This window comes from Homo sapiens, chromosome 2 (genome assembly GCF_000001405.40).
Source record: "Homo sapiens chromosome 2, GRCh38.p14 Primary Assembly".
Lineage (NCBI taxonomy): Eukaryota > Metazoa > Chordata > Mammalia > Primates > Hominidae > Homo > Homo sapiens.
In genome coordinates this window covers 11,344,774-11,371,863 of record NC_000002.12, presented here as the reverse complement: position 1 = coordinate 11,371,863, position 27,090 = coordinate 11,344,774, and the positions used below count along the sequence as shown (strand labels likewise).

Sequence of the window (27,090 nt, the reverse complement as noted above, 5' to 3'; positions counted from 1 at the left end):
GGTGGCACCTGGTTCTGCCTCTTGTCCTGGAACTTGGAGCTGATGAAGGAGGAAGTTGAGCCTTTCGTTCAGCTGTCCCTTTGGCAGACTGTGGCCTGGGCAGTGGCCGACAGCAGATCAGATTCCGTTTCAAAGGTTACCTGCTTTGCCACAGGCCTGGCACTCTGTCCAGACCAGAGAACGCTCGGATTCAGGGTCAGTTTCCAGCCATGGCTGGAAATACCCTCACTCCTCCACGACGTTTCTCTGCCATTGTAGGCCTTAAAATGCCACCATCGAAGAGGCTGGTGCCTCCATGGGGCTCAGCACAGTGCCTGGCAGAGGACAACAGCCAGTAAGGGTTTGCAGTTGGAAGTCAGAGAGGGTTATGAGCAGGCGCCTCCCTGCCCCAAGTCCTCTCCTGCGTCCTGTCACCGGTGTCACTGGTGTCTCAGTCATTCAACAAGGTATGTCATGGTGTAAGGAGAGGCAGATGCCCAGGTCTGCATCTCTGACAACCTGCGTGACTCTTAGCAAGTCACTTTTCCACACAAGCATGCGAGTCTCCATTTCTGCTGTGAAACAGCATGGTTTGGGACCTGCCCGTCTGGCTCACAAAGTTACAAGTGATGGTCAGTTGATATAAAACAGATGTGTATGTGTAACCATAAAGCACAATGAAGAGATGATTTGCTCTATGTACGAATTCCCCAATATCATCTGCCTCTAGTTCAGTATTGTTGTCATTCATGTGGATGGGTGGGACAGAGCTGACAGTTTTCCTTCTGGAGAGAAGCAGCCTGTGACTGCTTTGCTGACAGAGGTGCTGACTCCAGGCATCAACGAGCATCGCAAGGAAGCCAGGGTCATGGGTCCAGGCAGATCCCTGCTCCCAACTGGTCTCTGTTTCTACAGGTAGCCAGAGAGGCCACAGCAAGCATCTACAGCAAGGGTGGGGTTCCCTGGGGTCAAAGTCACAGAGAAATGGGGAACCCTGGAATGCAAGGGCAGGGAGGGACTTGCCAACCAGATTCAGCAAACATTTGCTCGGTGCCTCCAGGATGTACTAGGCACGGGGCCAGGTGACTTATACACATTAAATAGTTTCATCTCCATGACAACCCTGGGGCTCAGGCCTCAGGTTATCTCCATTTCACTAGTTCCAATGGGTCACGTGACCAGGCCAAGAGCACGTGCCATGCCCTACTTGGCCTGTTTGAATCCTCTCATTGGCGAGGTCTCATGTGAAACATCACCTTCTCAGGGAGGCCTCCCAGGTGCCTTCTCCTGCTCTGTCTCCCAGGCCAGAGTACAGTGGCACGATCACAATTCACTGCAGCCTTGACCTCCTGACTCTAGTGATCCTCCCGCCTCAGCCTCTCTAGTACCTAGGACTACAGGCACACGCCACCATACTTGGCTAATTTTTAAAAATTTTTTGTAGAGGTGGGGTCTCCCTATGTTGTCCAGGCTGGAATTGAACTCCTGGGCTCAAGCAATCCTTCCACCTCGGCCTCCCAAAATGCTAGGATTACAGGTGTGAGCCACCATGCCTGGCCTTTTTTGTTTTTGTTTTTTTAATTTACAGAATGCTTTGTAATCACACGCTTGTGTGTTGCCTTTTTTAATGTCTACCTTTCCAACTAGACTGTAAACACAAGGTCCAGAGCCCTGTCAATTTTGTTTACCACAGCATTTAGGAAGCATCTGAGAAAACACTTGTTGAACAAACTATAGGAATAAATACAGGTATTAAGAACTTAAACATACATGGTCTGATTTTTAAAATTTTCTCCTTTGTTGTTTTTCATTGCTCTTCTTGCTAGATAAGAGATGAGAAGTGGTGTTTTGGGTGAGATTTTTCAATAAAGCCACAAAAGTTCCCATAATCTTTCTCACCCTGAAACCACTGAGCATCTGCCTGTGAAGTGAGGCTAAGACCCTCAGCAGATCCCTGGATCCACAGTGATCTCCTCCCACTTCATAATTTACAAAGCACTCAAAGCATTGCAGGTGCTCAAACAATTCATCGTGACTGTGGAGCAAGCCAATGAAACATGCTCCTTAGCTCTTGAATACACGCAGATTGTGGCTGTTTCTACCCTGGCAGAGAAGTGTATTTGGTAAGCACCTATCTTGAATAGAGTCAGCTATGGCTCAGACCAGGCTGTCAGTAGTTTAATTGCACCATTTCCCTGATGGAAATGCCTACTGCACTCTTCCCTCCAACCCCAGTCCTAAGAATAACCAGAGATAACCAGCCAAATCTCTTACGCTAACACTGGCACCTAGTAGGCACTTAGTAACTGTTGCATCTCTTCCTTTCCTCACCTGTCAAGGGTGGGCTGTGATCCTATGTCCTCCCTACTCCAGCCCCCAAGGACATTCTCCTCCTCTGAATTCTTACACAATTTCCTCCATCCTCCTACCATTGGCCGCTAACTCAGCTAACTTTGAACTGAGACATTTCTCCTCTGAATATTTGGGTCTTCAAATTCAGGCTGCGAGCTCCTTGGAGACAGGGATTTATCTGGTCTGATACTTTGAGGCCTGGCCATTCTTGGCACCTAACAAGGTTAATATAAGTCCTGGCCTTGCCCAGAGTAGCTGCTCCATAGATAAGGACCAAACTTTTGAACCTCTTTAAGACAAGGTAGATTGGATGTAGGACAAGCTAGGAAACAAAGTTGGCATGTGAGCATCAATCAGCTTTTCCTTCTTCAGGTCTGAAATGAGTTCTGTCTAAGCCTCCACCTTGAAAACTGAGCCCTTGACCCCATCACTGTAACTTCCAATTTCCCTTTCAAGAGGACAACCCGATGCTGGGAGATAAATAGGGTTTTAGAACTGGAGTTGGATCAAAACAGGAAAATCAGGCTGGGCACAGTGGCTCACGACTGTAATCCCAACAATTTGGGAGGCTGAGGCAGAAGGACCACTTCTGGCCAGGAGTTCAAGACCAGTCTGTGCTACATAGCGAGATTCCCCTCATCTCTACAAAAAAATTTTAAAAATAGTCAAGGGCAGTGGTGCCTATAGTTCCAGCTACTGGAGAGGCTGAGGCAGGAGGATTGTCTGAGCCTGGGCAATCAAGGCTGCAGTGAGCCATGATCTTGCCATTGCACTCCAGCCTGGGTGATAGAGTGATCCCATCTCAAAAAAATAAAAATAAAAACGATTAAAATAAAATGAAAAAATCTGACTGATGAGGGTCAAACTAGGAAAACAATTCTGTCCAAGAGGTTATTATGGGGCCAAAAATGGGCCTAAAAGCCAGAAAACAAGAAGTTAGGCATTCACTGAAATGCAAACCAGACAGAAAGCAAGAGAGCAGAAAGAGCTGGACAATTGCTGAGAAACAGCCCGGGACTCTGACGCTTGCCTCCACCCGTGTGGACAGCGTGCCAGTTTGACGGCTCAGAATCGGAAGGGCACCCACATGGGCCTCCCCAGCTTCCTTTGGCTCAAAGGTGTCCAGACAAAAAGCGAACAAGGCAGTAGGAAAATGGAAGCTCCAATTTCCCTTCTCATTAAAACTGTGGGTATGCCTTTTCTCACACAGAATTTCCCTCACATTCTGGGCTCTCGGCTGTGTCCAGGAGTCCAGGACTGGCTTTCAGCCAATGCACAAGCTTCCATTTCAGTCCGGAGTTAGAAATCTGTCATGCTTTGACGTTTTGGTCAAATGGCTCATGTCCAGAATCCACCAAATGTGCATTTTGCAAAACTGCCCTCTCTTCACAAGCTGCAGCCTCAATTCTCATTGTGAGTAGCTGAATATAACAAGGAGAACCTTCAGACTAGAAATTGCCTGATTTCTCCTGCAAACTTCTGCCCTGAGAAGGCAGATGTGGGGCTGCAGACACAGGCACTTATTCATTCATCTCATTGAAAAGCTACGAGTTGGTTCCTTATTGCCTCTCCATAATAGAAAAACTCTTTAATGAGCTCTCTTTTTGTTTTTCAAATCAGATATGCAAAGAAGCTCATAACAATTTTTTTTAAAAATGCGAAACAAGAATCTCCAATTATGGGAGCAAAATCTTCAGCTTCTGGGTTCCTGTCTCACTGAGGAAATGGATTTGAAATGGCAAGGAGGAAATGAGGAGGCAAACTTTCATGTCTATTTTAGTTTTCCAATGCAGTCCTATTTCCTTTGGACTTTGTATAAACAAGGAAAGGACAGTTGTTAGTTCAGTTATTACAGATAACCTGTGTCTTTAAAGTAAATGTATCTTAAATAAGTAGGACTCCCATAAATGACTACACTTTTTCAAAATATGACTCCCCAGCTTATAACAAGAATAATAGCAAACATCACTTTATTAAGCAATTACTATGTAAAAGACACTTAGTGCTTAGCACACACTGGAAATATTGTTGACTGGCTATATTTTCCCCAGAAATCCCATTTCTGAAAGCCTATTACAAAGAAATAAAATCATCAGTATAACAAAGGAGTGTGTGTGTGTGGGTGTGAGTGTGGGGGGGGGTGTGAGTGTGTGTGGGTGTGAGTGTGTGTGTGAGTGTGAGTGTGTGTATGTAAGTGCACACACATGTTGTAGTATTGTTCATAGTGGCAAAAACTAGAAACAAAGTGAATATTGATAACATGGGCACAGATGACAAATTATATCTCCAAATTATGAAACAGAATCCAGCCATTAAAATCAGAGCTTTGCCACGTGACTAGGATGAAGTTACAAAAAGTATTGTTGAGTGAGAAAAGCAGGATACATAGGATACATGGAATTGAGTATAATATGATTTCTTTTTTTTTTTTTTTTTGAGATGGAGTCTCGCTCTGTCACTGAGGCTGGAGTGCAGTGGCACAATCTCAGCTCACTGCAACCTCCGCCTCCCGGATTCAAGCAATTCTCCTCCCTCAGCCTCCTGAGTAGCTGGGACTACCGTCACCTGCCACCACGCCCCAGCTAATTTTTGTATTTTTAGTAGAGATGGGCTTTCACCATATTGGTCAGGCTGATCTCAAAATCCTGACCTCAGGTGATCCACCTGCCTCAGCCTCCCAAAGTGCTGGGATTACAGTTGTGAGCCACTGCACCTGGCCGATTTCTTTTTTAAAATGATCAAAAAACCATTTATATGTGGGAATATAGCTATATACTTTTATTATTGAATTACCATGGAAAAAAACATGGAAGAGGGAGGCCAAGGCAGGAGGATCACTTGAGGCCCAGGAGTTTGAGACCAGCCTGGGCAACAAAGCGAGACCCTCATCTCTACAAACAATTAAAAAATTAGCTGGGCTTCGTGGTTCACGCCTGTAGTTCCAGCTACTCAGGAAGTTGAGGTGGGAAGATCACCTGGGCTTGGATAGATCAAGGCTGCAGTGAGCCGTGATTGCGCCACTGTACTCTAGCCAGGGTGACAGAGAGACTCTGTCTAAAAAAAAAAAAAAAGGAAAAAAAAAAAAACTTGGAAGGTGCATTCAAGGTTGTCAACATGGTTGTGTGGGTTGTGTCATGGGCCCAGGTTCAGCCTGGAGCCATGACATGAGTGGAACAGACTAGAAGGGGAGGGAGGGGAAAATAAAGAGAAAGGGAAAATGGAATCTGTTTTAAGGAAACCCACCAGGGTATACAATATAATCACACGATGTGTATATATGCAATTATGTCAGTTATGAGGAATGAAAATAAAAATGGCATTGATTTTTTTCTCAATAACCTTGTGAAATATTATTTTTCCCACTTAATAGATAAGGAAATGGATGATCTGATTTGCCAAAGGCTATCTGATTCCAAGGCTTAAATTATTTTCCTATAAGTATGATGCACAGTTATAATGAAAAAAAATCAAATATCATAGTAAAGTACAATGAAGATTGTAAAAACTCCTGAGTTCCAGAGACACTGCTATTAAAATTTGAGAAAACAACACTCCAGAAGTTTCTCTATGCATATATACCATTTACCAAATCATGCAAAATATGCCAAAGTCAGTCGGCTGTGAGGTTATGGGGGAGGTACTGCATCCCTGCAGGAAGTGGATGCTTCTATTGTCACTCATTCTGAAAAGTGGATAATCCTGGGCAGGGAATTAGGCCAGTCTGAGGGCTGAGGGAGGAGGGGGCAGGCCCAGGACCGGCCTTGGGAGGCTCAACGTGGTTCCTGTGATGGGAAGGAGCTGCCCTGACAGCTGCAGGCAGCCAGCCTCCCAAAATGTGGATGGCAAGTAAGAGGCATGGGTAATAATGGTCTCTATCCTCCTGAACAGCTCTCCCCCTGGACAGCCGTGAAAGAAATTGGGACTGATCTTTGGACAGGAGGATGGCTGTGTCCCCTCCTGAGGTCAGAGGGGGACACTGCTTCCAGACAGGGCCTGCAGCTGAGCTTACAGCCTCTCCCGACATGGCCACGTGATGATTTGGTCATGCCTTCTGATGAATGGCTATCTGCTTATGTGCCTAGATCCACCAGAGTTGTCACAGTTACAGGCCAGTTACTAGGAGGCCTCTTCTGAATGTGACATGGGAGGAGGGTCTCCCCTTTTCTCTTGGGGAGACACTGAGGTGAAATAGGCCTGCACCAGCCAATACAGAGGCAGCAAGTAGAGTCCTGAAGACACTCACTTGGCTGCAAAAGAGACCAGGGGTTTCCTCCAGCTGCCTGGTTGGCTGCTGCTCTGAGAAGATACCAGGCCTCTGCTCCGGTGGCTTCAGGGAGGCCACCCTGGACACAGCCAGCAGAAGCAGGTCATCGATGGAGGGGTCAGCCTACAAGGACACAGCCAAGTTCATGTTCTTTGGGAGGTGGCAGCCAAGGTAAGCCTGAAGGGTCTGATTCATAGACGAATCTTCAGAAATATCTGGAGAAGTGAATCTCAGAGATATAATCCTCCCTCCAATTTGAATGGGTGGGGGCTCCTGGGCATTATGACTTGAGTATTAAGGAAGGGTGTCTTTATTTTGCACACCAAGCTGATGAGGTGAGACATGTGCATTACATGGATATAGATATGCATATCCAAAATACAAAGCTTATCATACTGCTCACCTGCTCAAAATCCAGCAACAGCTTCCCTTGGGGTGAAACCCAAACTCTTTACCATAGACCCCCACCCGGAACACTGCATGGCAGCCATGATAAAGTCTCAGTTACCTCCTCAGATCTCCAGGCCTTCACCCGTATTTCTGCTTAGAATACTTCCTACTAGAGTCACCCGGACAGTTCGTAGTCACCCTTAAAGATTCAGCTTAATGGCCGGGCGCGGTGGCTAATGCCTGTAATCCCAGCACTTTGGGAGACTGAGGCAGGCAGATCACCTGAGATTAGGAGTTTGAGACCAGCCTGGCCAACATGGTGAAACCCTGTCTCTACTAAAAATACAAAAAATAAGCCTGGTGACGTGGTGCACAACTGTAGTCCCAGCTACCTCGGGGGCTGAGGCAGGAGAATCGCTTGAACCCAGGAGGCGGAGTTTGCAGTGAGCCAAGATCGTGCCACTGCACTCTAGCCTGAGTGACAGAGCAAGGCTCTGTCCGTGCCCCCCCAACCCCACCACCACCAAAAAAAAAAGATTCAGCTTAACATGTCACCTCCCCTGGGAGGTCTTCCCTGGCCCATTCCCTCCTGGCCCAAATCCTCCAGATTTGTCTTCCTGCTTGGCGTTCCTGTAATCAAACATTTGTTACACTTTATTGGTATGTTTCGCCCAGAGATAGGGATTCTGTCCTACTTGCTTCTGTATCCCCAGTGTTTTGTATAGTTAGTATTTGTTAATCTGTTGAACGACTGAATGGTGTAGGTACATAGTTTTACACAAAGGGAACATGCTCTGTAGTCTTTTGCATTCAACAATGCAGTAAGTCTGTGCCCTTAACCATTACACGTCCCCATGAAAGGGTTTTAACTATGGCCTACAAGCATTTTACAATCCAGTCCTCATCAGCTCCATCCTTTCTGCTTTCTGTGCCTTGAATATTCATGCATTTTCATCTACAGTGCCTAGCACACAGCCAATGCACCTGCCAAAGTGAAATACCCCAGGGTGTGCCCACATTCTTTCCCTACATTATTCCATGCCTGTTTCCCACCCCTGCCTGGCTAATTCCCACCTCTCCTCTGATGTCCCACTGAAACGTTTTCTCCGTGCAAAGCCCCATCTGTTTCTCCTAGACAAAGTGAGCAAGCCTGCCTCTGTGGGCCCCTGAACCTTGCTCCTCTCTCCTCACGGCTCCTAGTGTGTACACCCGCGGTGGCTCACGCCTGTAATCCCAGCACTTTGGGGGGCCGAGGTGGGCGGATCACGAGGTCAGGAGATCGAGACCATCCTGGCCAACACGGTGAAACCCCGTCTCTACTAAAAATACAAAAAAATTAGCCTGGTGTGGTGGCATGCGCCTGCAGTCCCAGCTACTCGGGAGGCTGAGGCAGGAGAACGGCATGAACCCGGGAGGCGGAGCTTGCAGTGAGTCGAGATTGCGCCACTGTACTCCAGCCTGGGCAACAGAGCGAAACTCCGCCTCAAAAAAAAAAAAAAAAAAAAAAAAATCTGCTCTCTGACTCAACTTTGATCACTGATAGTACTGGGACTTTTGTCTTCTTCCGTTTGTTATTCCCAACATCTAGTACAGCCTCTGCCACCAACTGATATTCAATAAATATTTATTGAATGAATGAATGAGGGCATGAATTAAGAAAGTTTAGTTTCACGCTTAGAGAAACATCACGCCAGGCTTCAGGGCCAACGGGAATCCATCCCAATTCCTGCTACAGACTTACTGATCCTGTCAGTTGTAATCAGTCAGAGAAATCATCCCAGCATGCTGGAACTAGGTAGAAACCTTGTTTTGCACATGATGAAACTGAGGTCGTAAATGTGAAGGTTGCACAGCAAATTCCATCAGAAGTTGTCTGAGATAGCAAGACTGATACCCATGCATATCAAGAGTCATGAATCACCAAGATCTCATCCCTAATTCTAGTGCTGTGTCATACATTATTTTACTTTTCAACAAAATAATGATGATTCCTTAAAATTGTGTAGCACTTTATAACTTACAAAGTCCTGTAAAAAAAAAAAAAAGACCTCTGAACTAGCTATTTGTGGTTAAGTCACTTGCCAGAATCATTCAGTTCTTAAATGATGGATCCAGGGCTAGGACTCAAGTTTTTGCTCTATGCCCAGTGTACTCCTCAAGATCCAATGTCTGCCTCCAACATTACAATAAACGGTGGTTAAATAATGATTCTAGGCTCACTCCTGGGAAAACATTATCATTTCTAATCAATATAATCATTTCCTATTTCTAAGAATTTTCTGAAGGCGACATAGACCAGACTTGTCAAACTTTTACATAAGAGAGCTGATAAGATCGAAGCATGGCTATAAGAAGGAACCAGAGTGTCAGGTCTGTGTGTGTGTCTGTGTGTGTGCACGTGCATGTGTGCATGGATGTGTAGTGTGTCAGTGACTCTGCATGTGGAATACTTGGTAAAGGCTTTAGGAACTCAAAAGTGTGGGTGGAAACAAAATAAGCAAATCTCCAATGCACAGCATCTGCATAGAGTGTGACCTTGATAAATACTTGCCAATGAATTAATATGCCCTGTGTTAAAAAATTCTCATATAATTGTTGTGCCCTTAGCCAGTATTTCCATAGAATGACTTTTAACAATGTAAATATGTCTTCCAAATAACTAAATTTATTCACTCATGCTTTCATCCAACAACGAACGCCTGGCCAGGTGCGGTGGCTCACACCTGTAATCCCAGCACTCTGGAAGGCCAAGGCGGGTGGATCACCTGAGGTCAGGAGTTTGAGACCAGCCTGCCCAACGTGGTGAAACCCCGACTCTACTAAAAATACAAAAATCAGCCAGGCAGAGTGGCAAGCACCTGTAATCCTAGCTACTTGGGAGGCTGAGGCACAAGAATCACTTGAACCCGGGAGGTGGAGGTTGCAGTGAGCCAAGGACGCGCCACTGCACTCCAGCCTGGGTGACAGAGTGAGACTTTCTCTCAAAAAAATAATAATAATAGTAATAGCCAGGCGCCGTGACTCACGCCTGTAATCCCAGCACTTTGGGAGGCTGAGGAGGGCAGATCACAAGGTCAGGAGATCAAGACCATCCTGGCTAACGCGGTGAAACCCCGTCTCTACTAAAAATACAAAACATTAGCGGGGCGTGGTGGTGGGAGACTGTAGTCCCAGCTACTTGGGAGGCTGAGGCAGGAGAATGGTGTGAACCTGGGAGGCGGAACTTGCAGTGAGCCGAGATCGCGCCACTGCACTCCAGCCTGGGCGGCAGAGCAAGACTCCATCTCAAAAATAAATAAATAAATCATCATCATAATAATAATGGAGGCCTATAGGTGCCAGACGCACAGTTTCCCCATAACACAGCAGGAAACTAAACAGACAGACCAACGTCTACTCTCATGGAGTTTACATTTTTGGGGGATGCTAGACATGGATAATAACCACTCGGTTATATATTATATTAGGTGATAAGTGGTATAAAAAAATATGGTTAGGCCAGGTGCGGTGGCTCACGCCTGTAATCCCAGCACTTTGGGAGGCTGAGGTGGGTGGATCACGAGGTCAAGAGATCGAGACCAGCCTGGCTAAAATGGTGAAACCCCGTCTCTACTAAAAAAATACAAAAAAAAAAAAAAAATAGCCAGGCGTGGTGGCGGGTGCCTGTGGTCCCATCTACTTGGGAGGCTGAGGCAGGAGAATGGCGTGAACCCGGGAGACGGAGCTTGCAGTGAGCCGGGATCATGCCACTGTAATCCAGCCTGGGTGACAGAGCGAGACTCCATCTCAAAAAAAAAAAAAGAAAAAGAAAAGAAAAAAGAAAAATATGGTAAGAAAAGGGGCTTGGGCGTGGGGTGGCTAGGAGTGGGGTGGGGTTGCAATTTGAATCAAGGGGTTCAGGAAGTGACATTTGAACAAAGACCTGTAGGTCGGGTGCGGTGGCTCACGCCGGTAATCCCAGCACTCTGGGAGGCCAAGGCAGGTGGATCACTTGAGGTCAGGAGTTCAAGACCAGCCTGGCCAACATGGCGAAACCCTGTCTCTACTGAAAATAGAAAAATTAGCTAGACATGGTGGCACACAACTGTAGTCCCAGCTACTGGGGAGGCTGAGGCAGAAGAATCACTTGAACCCAGGAGGCAGAGGTTGCAGTGAGCTGAGATCATGCCACTGCACTCCAGCCTGGGTGACAGAACGAGACTCCATCACAAAAACACACAAAAAATGAACAAAGACCTGAGAAGAAGGGGCACAAACTGTGAGAATATCTTGGGGAAAATCTTAACCTTTTGAACAAACACATAATTTTTAAAACTTTGTTTTTGTTTTTAAATAGCTTATATACACTTGGCTGCCCTGCCCCCCTTTTTTTTTTCCTTGAGACAGGGTCTTGCTCTGTCACCCAGGCTCCAGGCTGAAGTGCAGTGGTGTGATCACGGCTCACTGCAACCTCTGCCTCCCAGGCTCAGGTGATCCTCCCACCTCAGCCTCTTGAGTAGCTGAGACCATAAGCACGTACTACCATGCCGAGCTAATTTTTGTATTTTTTGTAGAGAGAGGGTTTCACCATGTTGTCAAGGCTGGTCTCAAAGTCCTAGGCTCAAGTGATCCACCTGCCACAGCCTCCCGAAGTACTGGGATTACAGGCATGAGCCACTGCACCCAGCCTACACGTGGCTGCCTTCTGAGAGGATCTAGCAGGTAGTTTAACATGTTCCTGATAATTCGGGCATCTCTGTGATTGTCAATGCTGGGCACCATGTAGTGCTGTCCATGGAGGTGGAGATGGTGGAAGCTCGGAGGACTAGAGGACTATTTGCCCCCCCGCTAGAGGGCTCCAATCTGTTTTTCTTCTGCATTAATTCTATGGCATCCACTCCTCTCACACCCTATTATTTCTGGTAGTGTCCCAGCATCACTACGCCATGCGTTTTGTCTGCTTTTTCGTAATACATCATTGGTTTGTTAGGATTGGGTCTAGAAGATAAAGACTTGAGCAAAAGGCTAAAATGCAGTGCACAGGCTTTATGACATCTGCTCTGCCTCTCTGCCTATTCACATAGGACATTTTTTGCTTATTTCCTTACTCTCAATTTCCTTTCTGACTGTCTGAATGCCAAATAATTAAATCCCTGATTTGGGAACTGTTGCTAATTAATACCTCATTGTCCTTCCTTTTAGGGCTCAGAACCATTTTCTTTTTTATTTCAACAGATTTTCTTCATAGGAAGCAAGTTAATGTGCAGGTTTCCACAGAGCAGTGGAGACAGACTCAGGATAAAGCAGTGCATGAGGAGAAAGTTCCCAGGACAGGATCCAAGAAGCTCTCAGTGAGGGGAGGGGACCTGAAAGCACAGAGAACAGAAACTGTCTTTATTTATTTTTTAGCCAGTATGCCGTTTGCCTATAACCTAATAGTGGCACAGAGGAGGCCAATAATTCATAGCTATTTTATGCACATCAGGGAAAGGAGAATGAAAATACTCTAATAAAAGTCCATGGGAAGTGCAATGGGAGCACAGAGTAATGAGTAATAGACTCTTACATGGAATTTGGGATGGGCTCACAGCAGAGGTGGCATTTAAGTAAACCTTTAAAAGATAAGTACGTTTTCATAAGTAAAGAAAGGAGGGAGGCCATGTGCGGTGGCTCACACCTGTAGTTCCAGCACTTTGGGAGGCCGAGGCAGGTGGATTACAAGGTCAGGAGATGGAGACCATCCTGGACAACATGGCGAAACCCTGTCTCTACTAAAAATACAAAAATTAGCTGGGCGTGGTGGCGGGCACCTATAATCCCAGCTACTCGGGAGGCTGAGGCAGGAGAATTGCTTGAACCCAGGAGGCAGAGATTGCAGTGAGCCAAGATTGTGCCATTGCACTCCAGCCTGATGACAGAGTGAAACTCCATCTCAAAAAAAAAAAAAAAGAAAGAAAGAAAGGAGGGAAATTTCTAGACTGAGGAAACAGCAAAAGGAAAGGCCTGAAAGGAGGGAAATGCCTAGTTTATTGACAATAAAAAAGTGAGCAAATAATTAGTATACTTTGACTTTTCTGGCTCTTTTGACTGGAAGCCTAGGATCCTTCAGGTAATATGCTTGCTTAAGGCCCCGTTTTCCTTTTCCTTTTTTTTTTCTTTTTCTTTCTCCAGGTTTATATTTTTGCAACATTCTCACTCATACAAATCATCAGCTACCAACTAGTCATTCAATGGAGCTGAAATTTAGGGTGCACAGGGAAGTAATGAGAAACAGGCCAAGAGTTACCAGGGACCAGACTGATCTAGTCTTACCTAAACACTAGAAGGTTTGGCGGGGTGCAATGGCTCATGCTTGTAATCCCAGCACTTTGGGAGACTGAGGCAGGCAGATCACTTGAGGTCAGCAGTTCAAGAATAGCCTGGCCAATATGGTGAAACCCATCTCTACTAAAAATACAAAAATTAGCCGGGCGTGGTGGTGCATGCCTATACTCCCAGCTACCTGGGAGGCTGAGGCAGGAGAATCGCTTGAACCTGGGAGGCAGAGGTTGCAGTGAGCTGAGATTGCACCACTGCGCTCCAGCCTGGGCAACAGAGCAAGACTGTCTCAAAAAAAAAAACAAACAAACAACAACAACAACAACAACAAAACACAATGACAACAACAACAAAACACAACGACAACAACAAAAACAAAGTATATCACCCAGAGAGCCATGTTTCCCAAGGCATATTACTGGGAACTGTATTTGTGTGAGACATTTCTTGGAGTTACTAAACCAAAAAAATAAAAACTCCTCTGGTTGATTATATTTTGGAAATATGCTTGGTTTGATGAGGCTAAACAGGTTTCTTTCCTGCAGGACTTGGTGCACTGCAAGGAGGTCAGGGAAACAGAGACAGAGAAGCTGCTTCTCCAAACTTCAGTGACCACACCTGTGTTCCTGCAGCTGAGTGTCTCTCAGAATGGGTGTCTCTTAGGGACACACTGCTGTAGCTCAACACAGGAGCATTGCCAACACTTTGAGCTGGAGAATAACACAAACCACAGATGAGCCTCTTGGAATGACCACTGTGGGGACCTGAAGGTGTGTACTGGAGGCTGGACAAGCGTTGAGGGGCTCCCCTGGCGAGCATCTGTGACAGGTTTGATGAGGCCTGTTCCCAGCAGTGGCAGTGAGACTGGCATGTCTGGATGACCTCTACCCAGAGGCCCAGCTTTATTGCAGGCTGGCTCTGAATCCTTTCATCTCTGGCCGCAGCCGGACAAAGTGCCAGAGCTGAGCAGCTGCCTCAGTTCTCCAGCCCCTGTGCTCTGAGAGGCCACACAGGGGACAGAGATCAGAGGAGCCGACACCAAAGTGATGCAACTGCCCTCCCAGGAATGCTGTTCTCAACAGAGGAAAAAGAGTGGTGAAATGGGAGCCATGGGCCCTGTCGGGGCAGGACAGGCTTCTAGACCTCATCCTCGTGTTTAACTCCTTTATTTGACGTATGGGGAAACTGAGGCCCAAGAAGGGAAGGGAGTTGCCTAAATTCACACAGCTGGACACATTTTTCAAATAACTCCACTTATCTTACAGTAGTTTTGCATTATTTTTCTCATTGTTAATTTTAATCATTTTTTTTTCAAATACTTATGACTTCACGTCCAGGACCCTCCAATTAATATTGTTGCTCAAGACTCATATTTTTTCTAGATTCACTTTTTTTCAGTAATCAAAAAAAAGCGAATCACTTTCTTTTGATGATCTTGCCTTTGACTTTATGGCAAACTAACAGATTTTAAAACATAAGGAGAATAATGACAGGAACAAGTCCTTTGCCAAGGACTTGTTGTGCCAAAAATATCCCTTACCAAATGGTTTCCTCACTCAATAAATTTTCCCTCGTCCCTCATTTGACAAGTGACCTTCAAAGAAAGGAATCACAAAAGGGAGAAGGCAGCTGCCCTCAGGAGTTGAAGAGACAGATCTTGATCAACTCGGGGCTGAGCAGAGGAAACCTCAAGTCTAGTTCTGTGCTAGCTTTGGGGCCTTGAGGAAGTCAGAACCCTTCCTTTTGCGGGTCCTTTGAGTTTCTTGGCCTGGTGGTCAAGGTCCTTCGTATGTGTCCCTAGCCTATGTCCCCAGCCTTTCCCTCTTACGTCCCCATAGCCAACTTCTGATCCAGCCAGATGTCCTTCATGGTCACCAGCATTGGCAGGCCTCTCCCACCTTTCCCCTGCTCCAGTCTTGCTCACCTGGGAGATCCTTCCGCTATTCTAGTTATTATTCTATTCTTCAAGTTCCTGCTTCTTTCCTGAGGCCTTCCTTGGCTTCTCCAATGCAAATTATTGTACAGTTCTCTTGAATGCTCAGTACTTGATAGGATGGCCAAGACGGATGGGTTCTTACAGGTTATTACCTTCAGCCCTTTTGTTTTATAGGGGAGAAAACAGAGGTACAGAATGGGAAAATAATTTGCCCAAAATCACACAATAAACGAATGGGGCTAGCTTTCCTGATTCCAGACTCATGCCCAGTTTACAATATCAAGAAAGTTGATACTATTACATTCATTTGCCACTTGTAAGAATTATAAAAACCCATATTCTCACACCTTGTATGTTAACATCATCATTAATCCTCTTAGCCATTAATTCATTCAGGTATTCACTAATTTAAGCAGCCAACATGTATGAGGGCCAATGTCCAGGCACTGAACTGTGCTAGATACTAAGTATTGCTACTATTTCCATTTCATAGTGGAGGAATCTGACTATGACGAGTTCTGTGATTGCCTCTAATTTACTGAATAAGTTGGGTCTCTTCAGGAAATAGAACTAACTCAGATGGTTTCCATAGAGGAGCTCTTTCCAGAGGTGTAGACAGAATTAAAGGAAGACAAGAAATGTTGAGGCACTGAGACCCCAGCGACAGTGAGAAGCTGAGGTCAGGAGGGCAGAGAGAGGACATAACCTCCCTGAGGCCCAGTGAGCAATGGAATGCAGTCCGCGGAGCTGCAGGGATTGAGGTGCAGAGCTGCTGCCAGAGGTCAAGCTGGGGCAGAGGGGAAGAAACCCTGTCCTCACCCCCAATCTCTTTCCAGGGATTTAGGGGGTTAAAACCTTGTCCTCACCCCCAATCTCTTTCCAGGGATTTAGGGGGTTAAAACCCTGTCCTCACCCCCAATCTCTTTCCAGCTCTCCCTTTGGGCAGAGCTCAACCAGAAGATAGACCACAGAGAGCCCAGAGTAGGCAGTCCATAGAGGTCAGCCCCTGGGGCGCAGAGCAGGGTGGACAGTGGCTCTAGAAGCTAGCGGAACTCTCCAGACTCATACACAGCTGGAAGTGGGGGAGCTGGGATGCCACAAGCCTGTGTTCTTTCTTCTGTACCACGTGGCTTGCTCGTGCTTATGTCCTTCTGTTCATTCATTCAATCATTTGTTCAGGCTATAAATACACTGAGCACGCACTCACTCCTGGCCAGCCTCTGTGCATATGTCTCATTTCCCTCCCCAGATCACGAAGCTCAGACCTTGCCTTTTTATTGTTTGTTTGTTTGTTTTTTTTTTGAGACACAGTTTTACTCTGTCACTCAGGCTGGAATGCAGTGGCACGATCTTGGCTCACTGAAACTTCTGCCCCCTGGGTTCAAGCGATTCCCCTGCCTCAGCCTCCTGAGTAGTTGGGATTACAGGTGCCTGCCACCACACCTGGCTAATTGTGTTTTTAGTGGAGATGATGTTTCACCATGTTGGCCAGGCTGGTCTCGGAACTCCTGACCTCAAGTGATCTGCCCACCTCGGCCTCCCAAAGTGCTTGGATTACAGGCGTGAGCCACCACACCCAGCCCAGACCTTGCCTTTCTTATCTTGGCATTCCCCTTGGTGCCAGTCTTGGTCCTTGATGCATGGTAGGCATTCACCCCATTTTGTTGTTTAGTAAATAGGTCCACTAAATACCACTCTGCCTTATACCAAGGATGTGGCCACAGAGAAAGCCAGGACAGCCGGCTTTCATTCTTGGAGGCACCAGAAGGGAGTGCTCCTGCACTCATCACTAAGTCACTTTCTTGTCTTGGAGTGAGAGTGGGGATTCTACGCGAGGGCTGATGCCTCTGATGCTCTGGAAATTCCCACCACTTCCAATAGCATGAAGCTCTGGGGCTGGGGTCTCACTTCCACAGTATCTCTGCTCTACTGAGTTCTTCCGAGCTCTCAGCTCTCATCTGGCCTGCAGAGTCTCAGGGCTATTTCTTTGAGGGTTGTGGCGGAGCTGATGAAAGCAAAGTTTACCACTTTCCTTCAAACACGAGGCCGCCACGTCCTCTGCACCGGGTGATCAATGTTGAGGTTTGAACGGCCTTCCCTTGTAGATCCTGCTGGGCCACAGCAAACAATGACTGTGTGTATAACAGCCCACCCTCTGTTTAAACACTATCCATGCGAATGTCAATAAGAATCCAAAGACCTGAAGACAGTGGTCATTGGCATTCAGCTTCTGAGTAGTAGTAGTTGCACATTTCCTTCCTTCCTTCCTTCCTTCCTACCTCCCTCCCTCCCTCCCCCCTCCCTTCCCTTCCCTTCCTGTCCCTCCCTTCTCTCCCTCCCTCCCTTCCTCCATCCCTTTCTGCCTTCCTCCCTCCTTCCCTCCCTTTCTCCCTTCTGGAAAAGGGCAAAAGAATCAATGCAAACTAACCTACCACTTGCTTCTGGTTTTTTTTTTTTTAAACTCATCCATCTTTATCTACCTTAAAATAAATTCACAGCATTTAGATACAATAACTAATCTTGTTACTTCACCGATGGAGCTTAGTGAGACCTGGGGGTCATCCTGATGGGTCCCTTCCCCTCCTCTTCCATGCCCAAACCCAAGCTGGGGGTTGTCGCAGGTTACAGACTTCGGAAGTGTGCCCGCAGTCCTATATTTGCATGGCCCCTTCACATACATTTTCTTATTTTAATGCAGAAATCAAGTCTGTGGTGTAGCTTTTACCAGTAGGGAAGAGTTCAGCAGTTTGTGACTTGCTCAAGGTCACACAGCCAGTAAGTGGCTGTTTAATATCTGTCCCTCTCCATTAGATCATTAGTTTGATAATGGCCAACAGGGATTATTTCTCTGTTGTTCTTCACTGTATTACCAGGATATAAATATCTTTGTTGAACAAACAAATGAGAAAATGAATGAATGAAAGAAACAACAGCTGGAATCCTATCAGCTTCTGCCAGGTGAGAAGGAGCCAGCCTTTCTGGAGTACCTTTCCATAGGCCGAACGCTGTCTGAGCCTTCTCTTACTTGTTCCTCACCAGAATCCTAAAAGAGAAATTGAAGCTCAGAGAGGTGAGTTAATTTGCCTGAGGCCACAGAGGTAAAAAGGGACAGACAGGCCTGGAACCATGTTTCTCTGACTCTATTGCAGGTGGCCTCATCCCCACTGCTCGCTGCCTGTTCGGAGATAGGACCTTGACCAGCCCACCCTCCCAGCCTTGCAGCTCTGACTTTTGGTGGACTGTCCTCTTCCATGCTCACTTCTTGGAGGCTCCAACTTTGTTTAAGGCAAATGGAATATGACAAAGGCAACCGTGGCCATCAAAATGCCACTCTAAATGCCGGGAAGTTTAAAGTGGGTCCTCATTTTGCAATAAGGCAGGCTTTTATGGAAACTAAGTGTATCCCAGTATTCTAATGATCAATCACTTTAACTACAGTTTTCTTCTTTGTATGCTTTGTAAGTTTTTAATTAATCATGATCATATACCACCTAATTACAAATGGTGGCCTGTGGATGAGTAAAATATCCCCCAAACTGGCTTTCTTCCTCTCTGCTGTGTCGCAAGTTCCACACGATCTTGCCCATGACTGCTGCAAGGTTCCCTCCCACCTGCCTGCCTACATAGCGCGACAGTAGCAGAGGGTGGTGCGATCAGAAAGCCCTTGGATGGTATCCTATGTTAACATTTGCAACTGCAGTGAGTCCTGGAGGACGGCACTGTGGTAGTTTCTTTGACATCACATTGCAAGTTAGTATAGGACCTGGGCTTTCCCTCATCTGCTTTCCACTGACTACCCCCCATCCTCTTTCTGACCACCTGTATGCCCTTTTCCCTAGTCATCACTCATTTTTCCTTTTATTTACTTCCTACTTTCCCACTCCTGGCCTCATTCTGCCTGGAGGAATGTTCTCTCTTTCTGTTTCCAAACTCTGCTGAATTTTTGTTGCTGTTGTTATTTAGTTTTTATTTCATAATCATAAACTTAACTCTGCAATCCAGCTAGGCATGGAAGGGAATAAGGAAAACATGGAACCCAAAGGGAACTGCAGTGAGAACAGAAAGGTTATAGGATACTGTGAGCAAATGGGGTGGAGGGGACAATATGGTTTGTCTGTGTCCCCATTCAAATCTCAACTTCAATTGTAGCTCCCAGAATTCCCACGTGTTTTGGGAGGGGCCTACGGGGAGGTAATTGAATCATGGGGGCTGGTCTTTTTAGTGCTATTCTCGTGACAGTGAATAAGTCTCATGAGATCTGACGGTTCTATCAAATGTTTCCACTTTTGCTTCTTCTTCATTTTTCTCTTGCCACCACCATGTAAGAAGCGCCTTTTGCCTCCCACCGTGATTCTGAGGTGTCCCCAGCCACGTGGAACTGTAAGTCCAATTAAACCTCTTTTTGTTCCCAGTTTCAGGTATGTCTTCTTTATCATCCCCATAAAAATGGACTAATACAGGGCTACTCTCCTGACCTACAGAAAGAATGGTCTGGTGGTTAAGGTAAAACACAGGTCAAACTTACCAGAGTTGTCCACAATCAGCAATGGTGATCTTCTTGCTGGTCTTGCCATTCCTGGACCCAAAGGGCTCCATGGCCTCCACAATATTCATGCCCTCTTTCACCTTGCCAAAGACCACATGCTTGCCAATCAACCACTCAGTCTTGGCAGTGCAGATGAAAAACTGGGAGCCATTCGTGTTGGGTCCAGCTTTTGCCATGGACAAGATGCCAGGACGTATACGCTTCAGGATGAAGTTCTCATCATCAAATTTCTCCCCATAGAGGGACTTGCCACCAGTGCCATTATTGTACGTGAAGTCACCACCCTGACACATAAACCCTGGAATAATTCTGTGAAAGCAGGAACCCTTATAATCAAGTCCTTTCTCTCCAGTGCTCAGAGCACGAAAGTTTTGTGCTGTCTTTGAAAGCTTGTCTGCAAATATCCTGAAGGAGACATGGCCCAAGGGCTTGCCACTGACACTGATGTCGAAGAACACAGTGGGGTTGACCATGGCTGGTAGTATGGGGCTCCTGGTGGCTGTGGTGTCTGCCAACTCTGTTAATTTCTTTTTTCTTTTCTTTTTTTTTGAGATGGAGTCTCACTCTGTTGCCCAGGCTGGAGTGCAGTGGCACAATCTCAGCTTACTGCAACCACCGCCTCCTGGGCTCAAGTGATTCTCCTGCCTCAGCCTCCCGAGTAGCTGAGATTATAGGCGCACTCCACCATACCTAGCTAATTTTTGTATTTTCTTTTTCTTTTCTTTTCTTTTTTTTGTTTTGAGACGGAGTTTCGCTCTTGTTGCCCAGGCTGGAGTACAATGGCGTGATCTCGGCTCACCACAATCTCCACCTCCCAGGTTCAAGTGATTCTCCTGCCTCAGCCTTCCCGAGTAACTAGGATTACAGGCATGCGTTGCCATGCCTGGCTAATTTTGTATTTTTAGTAGAGACAGGGTTTCTCCATGTTGGTCAGGCTGGTCTTAAACTCCCGACTTCAGGTGATCCACCCGCCTTGGCCTCCCAAAGTGCTGGGATTACAGGCTTGAGCCACTGCACCCGGCCAATTTCTGTATTTTCAGTAGAGACAGGGTTTTGCCATGTTGGCCAGGCTGGTCTTGAACTCCTGACCTCAGGTGATCCGGCCGCCTCGGCCTCCCAAAGTGCTGGGATTATAGGCATGAGCCACCGCGCCCGGCCAACTCTGCTAACTTTTAAGGACCCAGACCACGTGTCACCTCTTTTCCCTGATTCCCCTGCTGGAAGACATCTCTTGCATCAGTATGTTATCTGTGAATCTCTTCAGGCACTTATGTTTGTTGAATTAAAATTATTTGTGTTTTTCCATTTATACATTCACTCAACCATTCAACCATTAAAAATACACTGAGTATCTATTCAATCAACAATTCCTTAAACATTTTTTGTTTCTTTTTAGGGACGGTGTCTCACTATGTTGCCCAGGCTAAACTCAGACTCCTGGACCCAAGTGATTCTCTTGCCTCAGCCTCCCAGTTAGCTAGGACTACAGGCATACGCCACTATTTCTAGCTTGCATCAACAATTCTTGACTGCAAACTCTGTGTAGAAAGAACCCATACTCAGTTCCTTTTGTATCTACCACAGAACCCGCAAGCACGATGCTCAAATTGAATGTAGAAGGAAAGCAGGAGATAGGAAACTGGCCTGAGAGAAGAATGCCTTCCAGGGTGGGTCATGAGGGGAGAGGACTGAGGAGAGGCTAGGGAAGGTGGGACAGCACCAGCAAAGGCACAGAGGTGGGAATGGCATGGTTACTTCTGTGAATGATACATCCTACACAGTTTATAGTTTTGCTGAACTGAAGCTTTTGGAGAGTGGAATAGTAGAAAAGTATTCTTCATGGTTAATAATGGGAAATTACTAATTTACTCTGGACTAACAACAGACCCAAGGTTTTGGATGTGAAAAGCATTGAAAGGGAAATGGAAATATTGTTCTTCTCATGCATGTGAGGCAAGCACTTTGCTAAATATTTTGTTAAAGGCTAAAGGGGATCTAGAACCCAGTAAGAATCAAGCCTTCACTCAAGGAAGAGGGGCCTCCATGAGGGATGAGTAGGGACTTCACAGGTGGAGAGGGGCAGAGAGGTGCCGTTCCACATGGGTGGAAATCGTCTTAACCAAAGAGGAATCAGCCAAGGGTGTTCCATTTTGAGAAAAAGAGAAGAGGAACACTGGAAGAAAAGTCTGAAAAGGGAGGTGTTGACATCTGTAGAAAGACCAGATTCCAGGCTGAGGATTTCACGCACAATCATAGGAGACCCAGTGAAAGTTTTTGAGCAGGAAAATCACATAAAGCATCACAGAGCCACTTCTATTTCACTAATGGGGAAAATGAGATTGCCAGGTATGACATCAAGGTCCCCTGCCAAACTGGCAGAGCCAGAAACAAACTTAGTTTTCCAGGATCCTCCAAGTCATTTCTCGGGACCACCATTCTCAAATATATACATTTACACGGTACATATTTTTGCAGTGACTTACCATTTACTTCTAAGTGCACTTCTGAGCTGTGACCAGAGCTTTCTCTTCTGAGAGTCTTTCATAGTATACTGGTGAATAATTTGTGTTGGATGAATGCAGTATCTTTCATCTGCAGATCTTAAGAAGCCTTAATGACAACCAAGCTTCATTAATTCTATTTTGTGTATGAGGCAACTGACTCACAGAGGGGTTCGGCAATTTTCTCATTCACTCTGGGAATTATTACCAGAACCATGAATGAAACTTAGGATGAAACTCTATTTCATAAACCATTAAACCCTGTACCCTTTATAGTAGAGGAGTTTACAAAGATAATGACACCTTTGTATTGCGAGTTCATTCCTTTATTCTGTTATTAAATCCTGGCTTGTGTGGAACAGAAGCAACTCACTACAACAATGCCAGCCTGCGTTGCCTGGCAGCGTGAAGCGAGATGGGAAAAGTTGTTACGTGTCTTATTGGTGATGGCTGGACCATTCACAGTTCGTTGTTTTCACCCATCCATTCCTTAATTCATTTATTCACTCCATGTGCATATATATGAGTCCTCATTACATCACCTGTAAAATGGGCATAGTAATATTACCGTAAGCAAAAGGCTGTTTCAAGAATTAAGATAATCTCTATAAAGCGTGCTGCCTAGCACATAGTTAGTCCTTAAAATAATAGTTATAATTAAAAGAGTAATTACAAAAGCCACATGGTCAAAAGACAAAAATGGTCCTTTTCCAGCACTAGCTATGGGTGGAGAGGGTAAAGTTGCATCTGAAAGGTGAATTAATTCTTGAGGAAGAGGCAGATTCCTCAAATAAAAAACTGAAACTTGAGGAGATGGATCTCAGAGAAAAGAAGGAGGCCTGGACCCTCAGTCTGGGTGAGGAAGCATCAGGAGGGCTAGGAAGGCATTGCTGGGTAGTGGATGTCAAATAGACCATTGGGAATGAAGAGACAGAGAAAAGAAATTCATATGAAACGGAGTGGAGTTTCTAAGTTCTGCAGAGCAAGCTATGAACAGTTATGGTGCAATCCAAGCCTTATCCATTGATAGGCCAGCCTGGTTAAATGCCCTGTATTTTCCGTGTTTATTTTTCCATTGTTCTTCCTTACTATTGAACAAAAGTTTCTGTCCAAGTTCCTGCCTGTCTCAACTGTGCTCAGGACACACTGGGGACTCTGTTAGAAAGGAGCAGTCAACCCTGGCCCGAGTCGCGTGGCAACAGGAGTCACAGCAGGAGTTCCCTTGGAGACCAGCAAGCCCAGGGAACCCCCTTCCACAGCTAATTTGGGATGAGCTGAGCTGAGAATATTAGGAAACTGCCATTTCCTCATAACCTGTTGCAATTCCAGTATTCTGTGTGACCTAAAAACTGGGTTGGAAATCCTCCTTAACACAGATACAGAACCCAGAAGCTGTAGAGGACAATATCAACCGATTTGACCGCATAACAGGTAAAAAACAAAACTGAATGACAAGCAACAGACTGGAAAAAAATCTTCACAAACTGTAACATATTTTAATATATTCTATTATAATATAACAAAAAGGAATATCCAAAATACATAAGGAGCTCTTATAAATAATAAAAAGAGACAAAACTAATGGATAAAAGATATAAACAGGTAATTGCAGAAGAAATAGATAGACAAAATGCCTATCTTCAGTAGTAATTAAGGGAATACAAGTCAGAACAAGATGGCGTTTTTTGCCCATTTTATTGACAACAATTAAAAATATAATATTGAATACTGGGAAAGGTGAAGGGACATGGGCAGTTTCTTCTACTCACGCTGAGAATGTAAACGGGTAGCGTCTTTTTAAAGGCCAGGTTGAGGCCCGGCTCTGTGACTCACCCCTGTAATCCCAGCACTTTGGGAGGCTGAGGTGAGTGGATCGCTTGAGCTCAGGACTTAGAGAACAGCCTGGGCAACAAGGCAAAATCCTGTCTCTACAAAAAATACAAAAATTAGCCAGGCATGGTGTTGTGTGCTTGCAGTTCCAGCTACTCAGGAGGCTGAAGTGGGAGGACTGCTGGAGCCCTAGAGGTGGAGGTTGCAGTGAGCCAAGATCTCTCGTGCCACTGCACTCCAGCCTGAAGGACAGAATGTAAACCTGCCTCCAATAAATAAATAAATAACAGGTTGGCAGCATCTGTATTTACAGTATGCCTACCCTTTGTTATGACAATTCCACTTTTAGGAATCTATACTATTCAAATATGAGGATACGAGGATGTCAATGGATCATTTTAACAGTGAGAAAATATTAATAATATCTAGCATTGATTGAGGGCCAGCACATTTCTAAGCACTTTATAACAAATATTGTGAGGACCCCGAGACACAGAGGAGTTAGGTAACTTGCTCAGGGTCACATGGCAAGTGTGTGTTTGGGGCAGGATTTTGGCAATTGTTTCTTAACCACTATGCTCTCGAATAGAGAATAATTACAGTGTGGCACATCCAAACTGGGGAGTAGAGGACAGCAGGTAAGCGGAATGAAGCAGATCTCTGCCTATAGACATGGACACGCCTCTAGGACATATTAGTAATGAAGGGAAAAAACCAAGTTGCCAAACACCATGATATGGTATAATTTCATGTCTGTGGGGAAAAGGTAACATGTATCTATAATACATATGTATGAGAATGGCCAAAGGCCTTGAGTGATATAAGAATGTATGTGGAAATATAGTCAGAACAGTAAATTTTAGATTATGTTCCATATATTTCTGGTTCGTTTGAACTTTTACAAGAATGCATTTGTGCATTACTTTTGAAAACAAGAATTGTTGTACTAACCTCCTCCTTACCCTTACCCCATCCTGCAAAAAGGTTTAACTCATATCAACAGATTCATTTTCTCTTCTTCCAGGTAGACAATGGGATAGGTCTTGGGTAAAAATCTTCTGTACCATGGCTTTTTCTGGTCTATATAAATAAGTATATGTAGAACATGCCCAGGATATATATCTTGTTGATCACTACTCTTAAAATAAGGTTTTCATGTTCGGTATTTGGACCATGGCTTCCTGTTATTCCACCAAGCTACATACAAATATACAACCAGTCAAAATTAATTTGGAAACTGAGAACCACAGTGTTTTTTTTTTTTTTTTTTTGAGACAATCTCACTCTGTTGCCCAGGCTGGAGTGCAGCGGTGTGATCACAGCTCACTGCAGCCTTGGCCTCCTGGGCTCAATGGAGGAGGCCTCCAACTCAGCCTCAGGGGGAGCTGGGACTACAGGCACAGGCCACCACGCCCCGCTAGACAGAGTGCTCCTTTTGCCTTGCATATTATTTTGTCATCAGAAAAATAATCCATAATCATAGATTATCTCATTATTTTGCTCCAATGCATAAGTGGGAGTGTCTAGCTCCCTCTGTTCTCCTGGTGGCCTCTGTGGAGGTCTGAATGAGTAGCTCAATACACAGACTTAAAGGACTCTCTGGATGTGAAGTCAGTGTTACTATCTGAAAGGGAAAAGCTGCATTGGATGGATCATCGGGGCCTCTTCCTGCATGAGTCCAGCTAGGGGTGGTTTTAACTAACCTAAAACCAAAGAAGAGGCTCCAACTAATCCAATGGTTTGGATCAAAATGCAACTTTTACAGGGCTGGGGCTTCACCCTATCTTCGGGTTTATCTCTGACATGCCAGGGAGACAGTTCTTAACATTCTTATTACTTAATGGATATCAGATTGTTGCTTTTCGGAGTGGTTTTTCCATTTTTTGAAATTTAATTTGTTCTTAAGTATCTTTACAGAAAAAAATCCCATTTATTTAAGAAGTACTGTATTCTCTGGTTCTTATAGCTGCTCATTTTACATAGTTTTAGTGTGTACAAACGATTTTTTTTGTTTCATTTATTTCTAATATACCTTCTCATGTACTTGCCAAAATTTCATGTTTGACACAGTCTGCATACCTGCCAGGATTCTTGCTGTTAATGTGAAGGCGCCTGTTTGGGTTACTCAATTGTTGGACAACTGGGCCCATTCCCAGGTTTTGGTCATCACGAACATTGTGAATAGCCCTGCTGTTAACATCTTTCTGCAAGTTCTCCCCCTTCTTCGCCCTTTGGATCATTTCCTTGGAAATGTACTTCCTTAAATGGGTTTACTGGGTCAAAGGGGCTCTATGAACGGTTTTATAGCTCTTGGCACATAATTTTCGGATTGCGCCCTGGGCGGATCTAAGCGATGGCACCGGCCGCCGAGAGGGCAGGAATGCGGCGGAACGGTCCCGATAACCACCCCTCTTCCGCCCCCCAAAAGGAGAAGACCCCGCGAAGGCCTGCGGCTGGAAAGCCTTTTTCCGGTGCTCTCCCGTTCTCTTGAAGTGGTTAGTGTCTAAGCCGGGCAGAAACGCTTTCAGGATCCCAGGCCCTCCTGCCCCAGGACTAGGATTCCACCCGCCTCCGCTAATTCGGAATCCCAGACACCCAGGGCCCCCTCTCAGGCTCGCCTCGAAACCCCCGGCCCTGCGGCCCCTCGCGGGCGCCGAGCTCGGTCGCTATTATTTGGGCGCGGGTGAGGCGAGGCCCGCATAGCTGCGCGCTGAGTCAGCGGGGGCCGCGGCGGGGGGCGCGGCCGGGCTCCCCCCCAGCGCACGGTGCGCTGGGCCCGGCGTCTGGGGTTCCGCCTCGGGGCCGCGGGGTAGTCCGCGGGGTCCGGCGGGAGGGGCAGGGGGCGCGCGGAAGGACCCGGCCTGGGTGCGTCTCCCCTCCCCCAGCAGGAGCTCGGCCGTGACCGCGCGCCCGGCTATTCGCCTCAGAGAACCTCGCCAGGGGGAGGAGGCGAGGGCGGGCGAGGAAGGGGCGCAGAGGAGAAAGCGGAGCGGGA

The 27,090-nt window shown here is 46.0% G+C and overlaps 2 protein-coding genes and 1 long non-coding RNA gene across 4 annotated transcripts in view, besides 3 other annotated features; 1 reads left to right on the top strand and 2 right to left on the bottom strand.

Moving 5' to 3' along the window:
* Window positions 1-68: 68 nt before the first annotated feature.
* On the bottom strand, window positions 69-20,237 carry PPIAP60 (peptidylprolyl isomerase A pseudogene 60). Its single transcript, XM_047446546.1, has 4 exons — window positions 19,744-20,237; window positions 18,255-18,261; window positions 6,575-6,718; window positions 69-164 (listed from the first exon to the last, which is right to left on the bottom strand). Exons 1-4 carry the CDS (start codon window positions 20,235-20,237, stop codon window positions 69-71), a joined length of 741 nt encoding a protein of 246 aa, XP_047302502.1.
* Window positions 14,747-15,041: a silencer, noted in NCBI's record as "tiled region #7779; HepG2 Repressive non-DNase unmatched - State 5:Enh". NCBI's record gives its function as "represses a minimal TATA promoter and a strong SV40 promoter by Sharpr-MPRA in HepG2 cells {active_cell/tissue: HepG2}" and the evidence as "EXISTENCE:reporter gene assay evidence [ECO:0000049][PMID:27701403]".
* LOC124907733 (uncharacterized) lies at window positions 22,576-26,352 on the bottom strand. Its single transcript, XR_007086216.1, has 2 exons — window positions 26,175-26,352; window positions 22,576-22,807 (listed from the first exon to the last, which is right to left on the bottom strand). It is a non-coding gene; the product is annotated as an uncharacterized LOC124907733 (long non-coding RNA).
* Window positions 26,427-27,090, top strand: part of ROCK2 (Rho associated coiled-coil containing protein kinase 2) — a 165,679-nt gene continuing 165,015 nt past the window's right edge. For both annotated transcript variants that reach the window (NM_001321643.2, XM_011510417.3), the window contains exon 1: window positions 26,427-26,590. The gene's annotated coding sequence lies outside the window, so the exon portion shown is untranslated. The remainder of the gene's footprint in view (window positions 26,591-27,090) is intronic.
* Window positions 26,744-26,903: a silencer, noted in NCBI's record as "silent region_11174". NCBI's record gives its function as "represses an Ori minimal core promoter by ATAC-STARR-seq in GM12878 lymphoblastoid cells {active_cell/tissue: GM12878}" and the evidence as "EXISTENCE:reporter gene assay evidence [ECO:0000049][PMID:35858748]".
* Window positions 26,974-27,043: a silencer, noted in NCBI's record as "silent region_11173". NCBI's record gives its function as "represses an Ori minimal core promoter by ATAC-STARR-seq in GM12878 lymphoblastoid cells {active_cell/tissue: GM12878}" and the evidence as "EXISTENCE:reporter gene assay evidence [ECO:0000049][PMID:35858748]".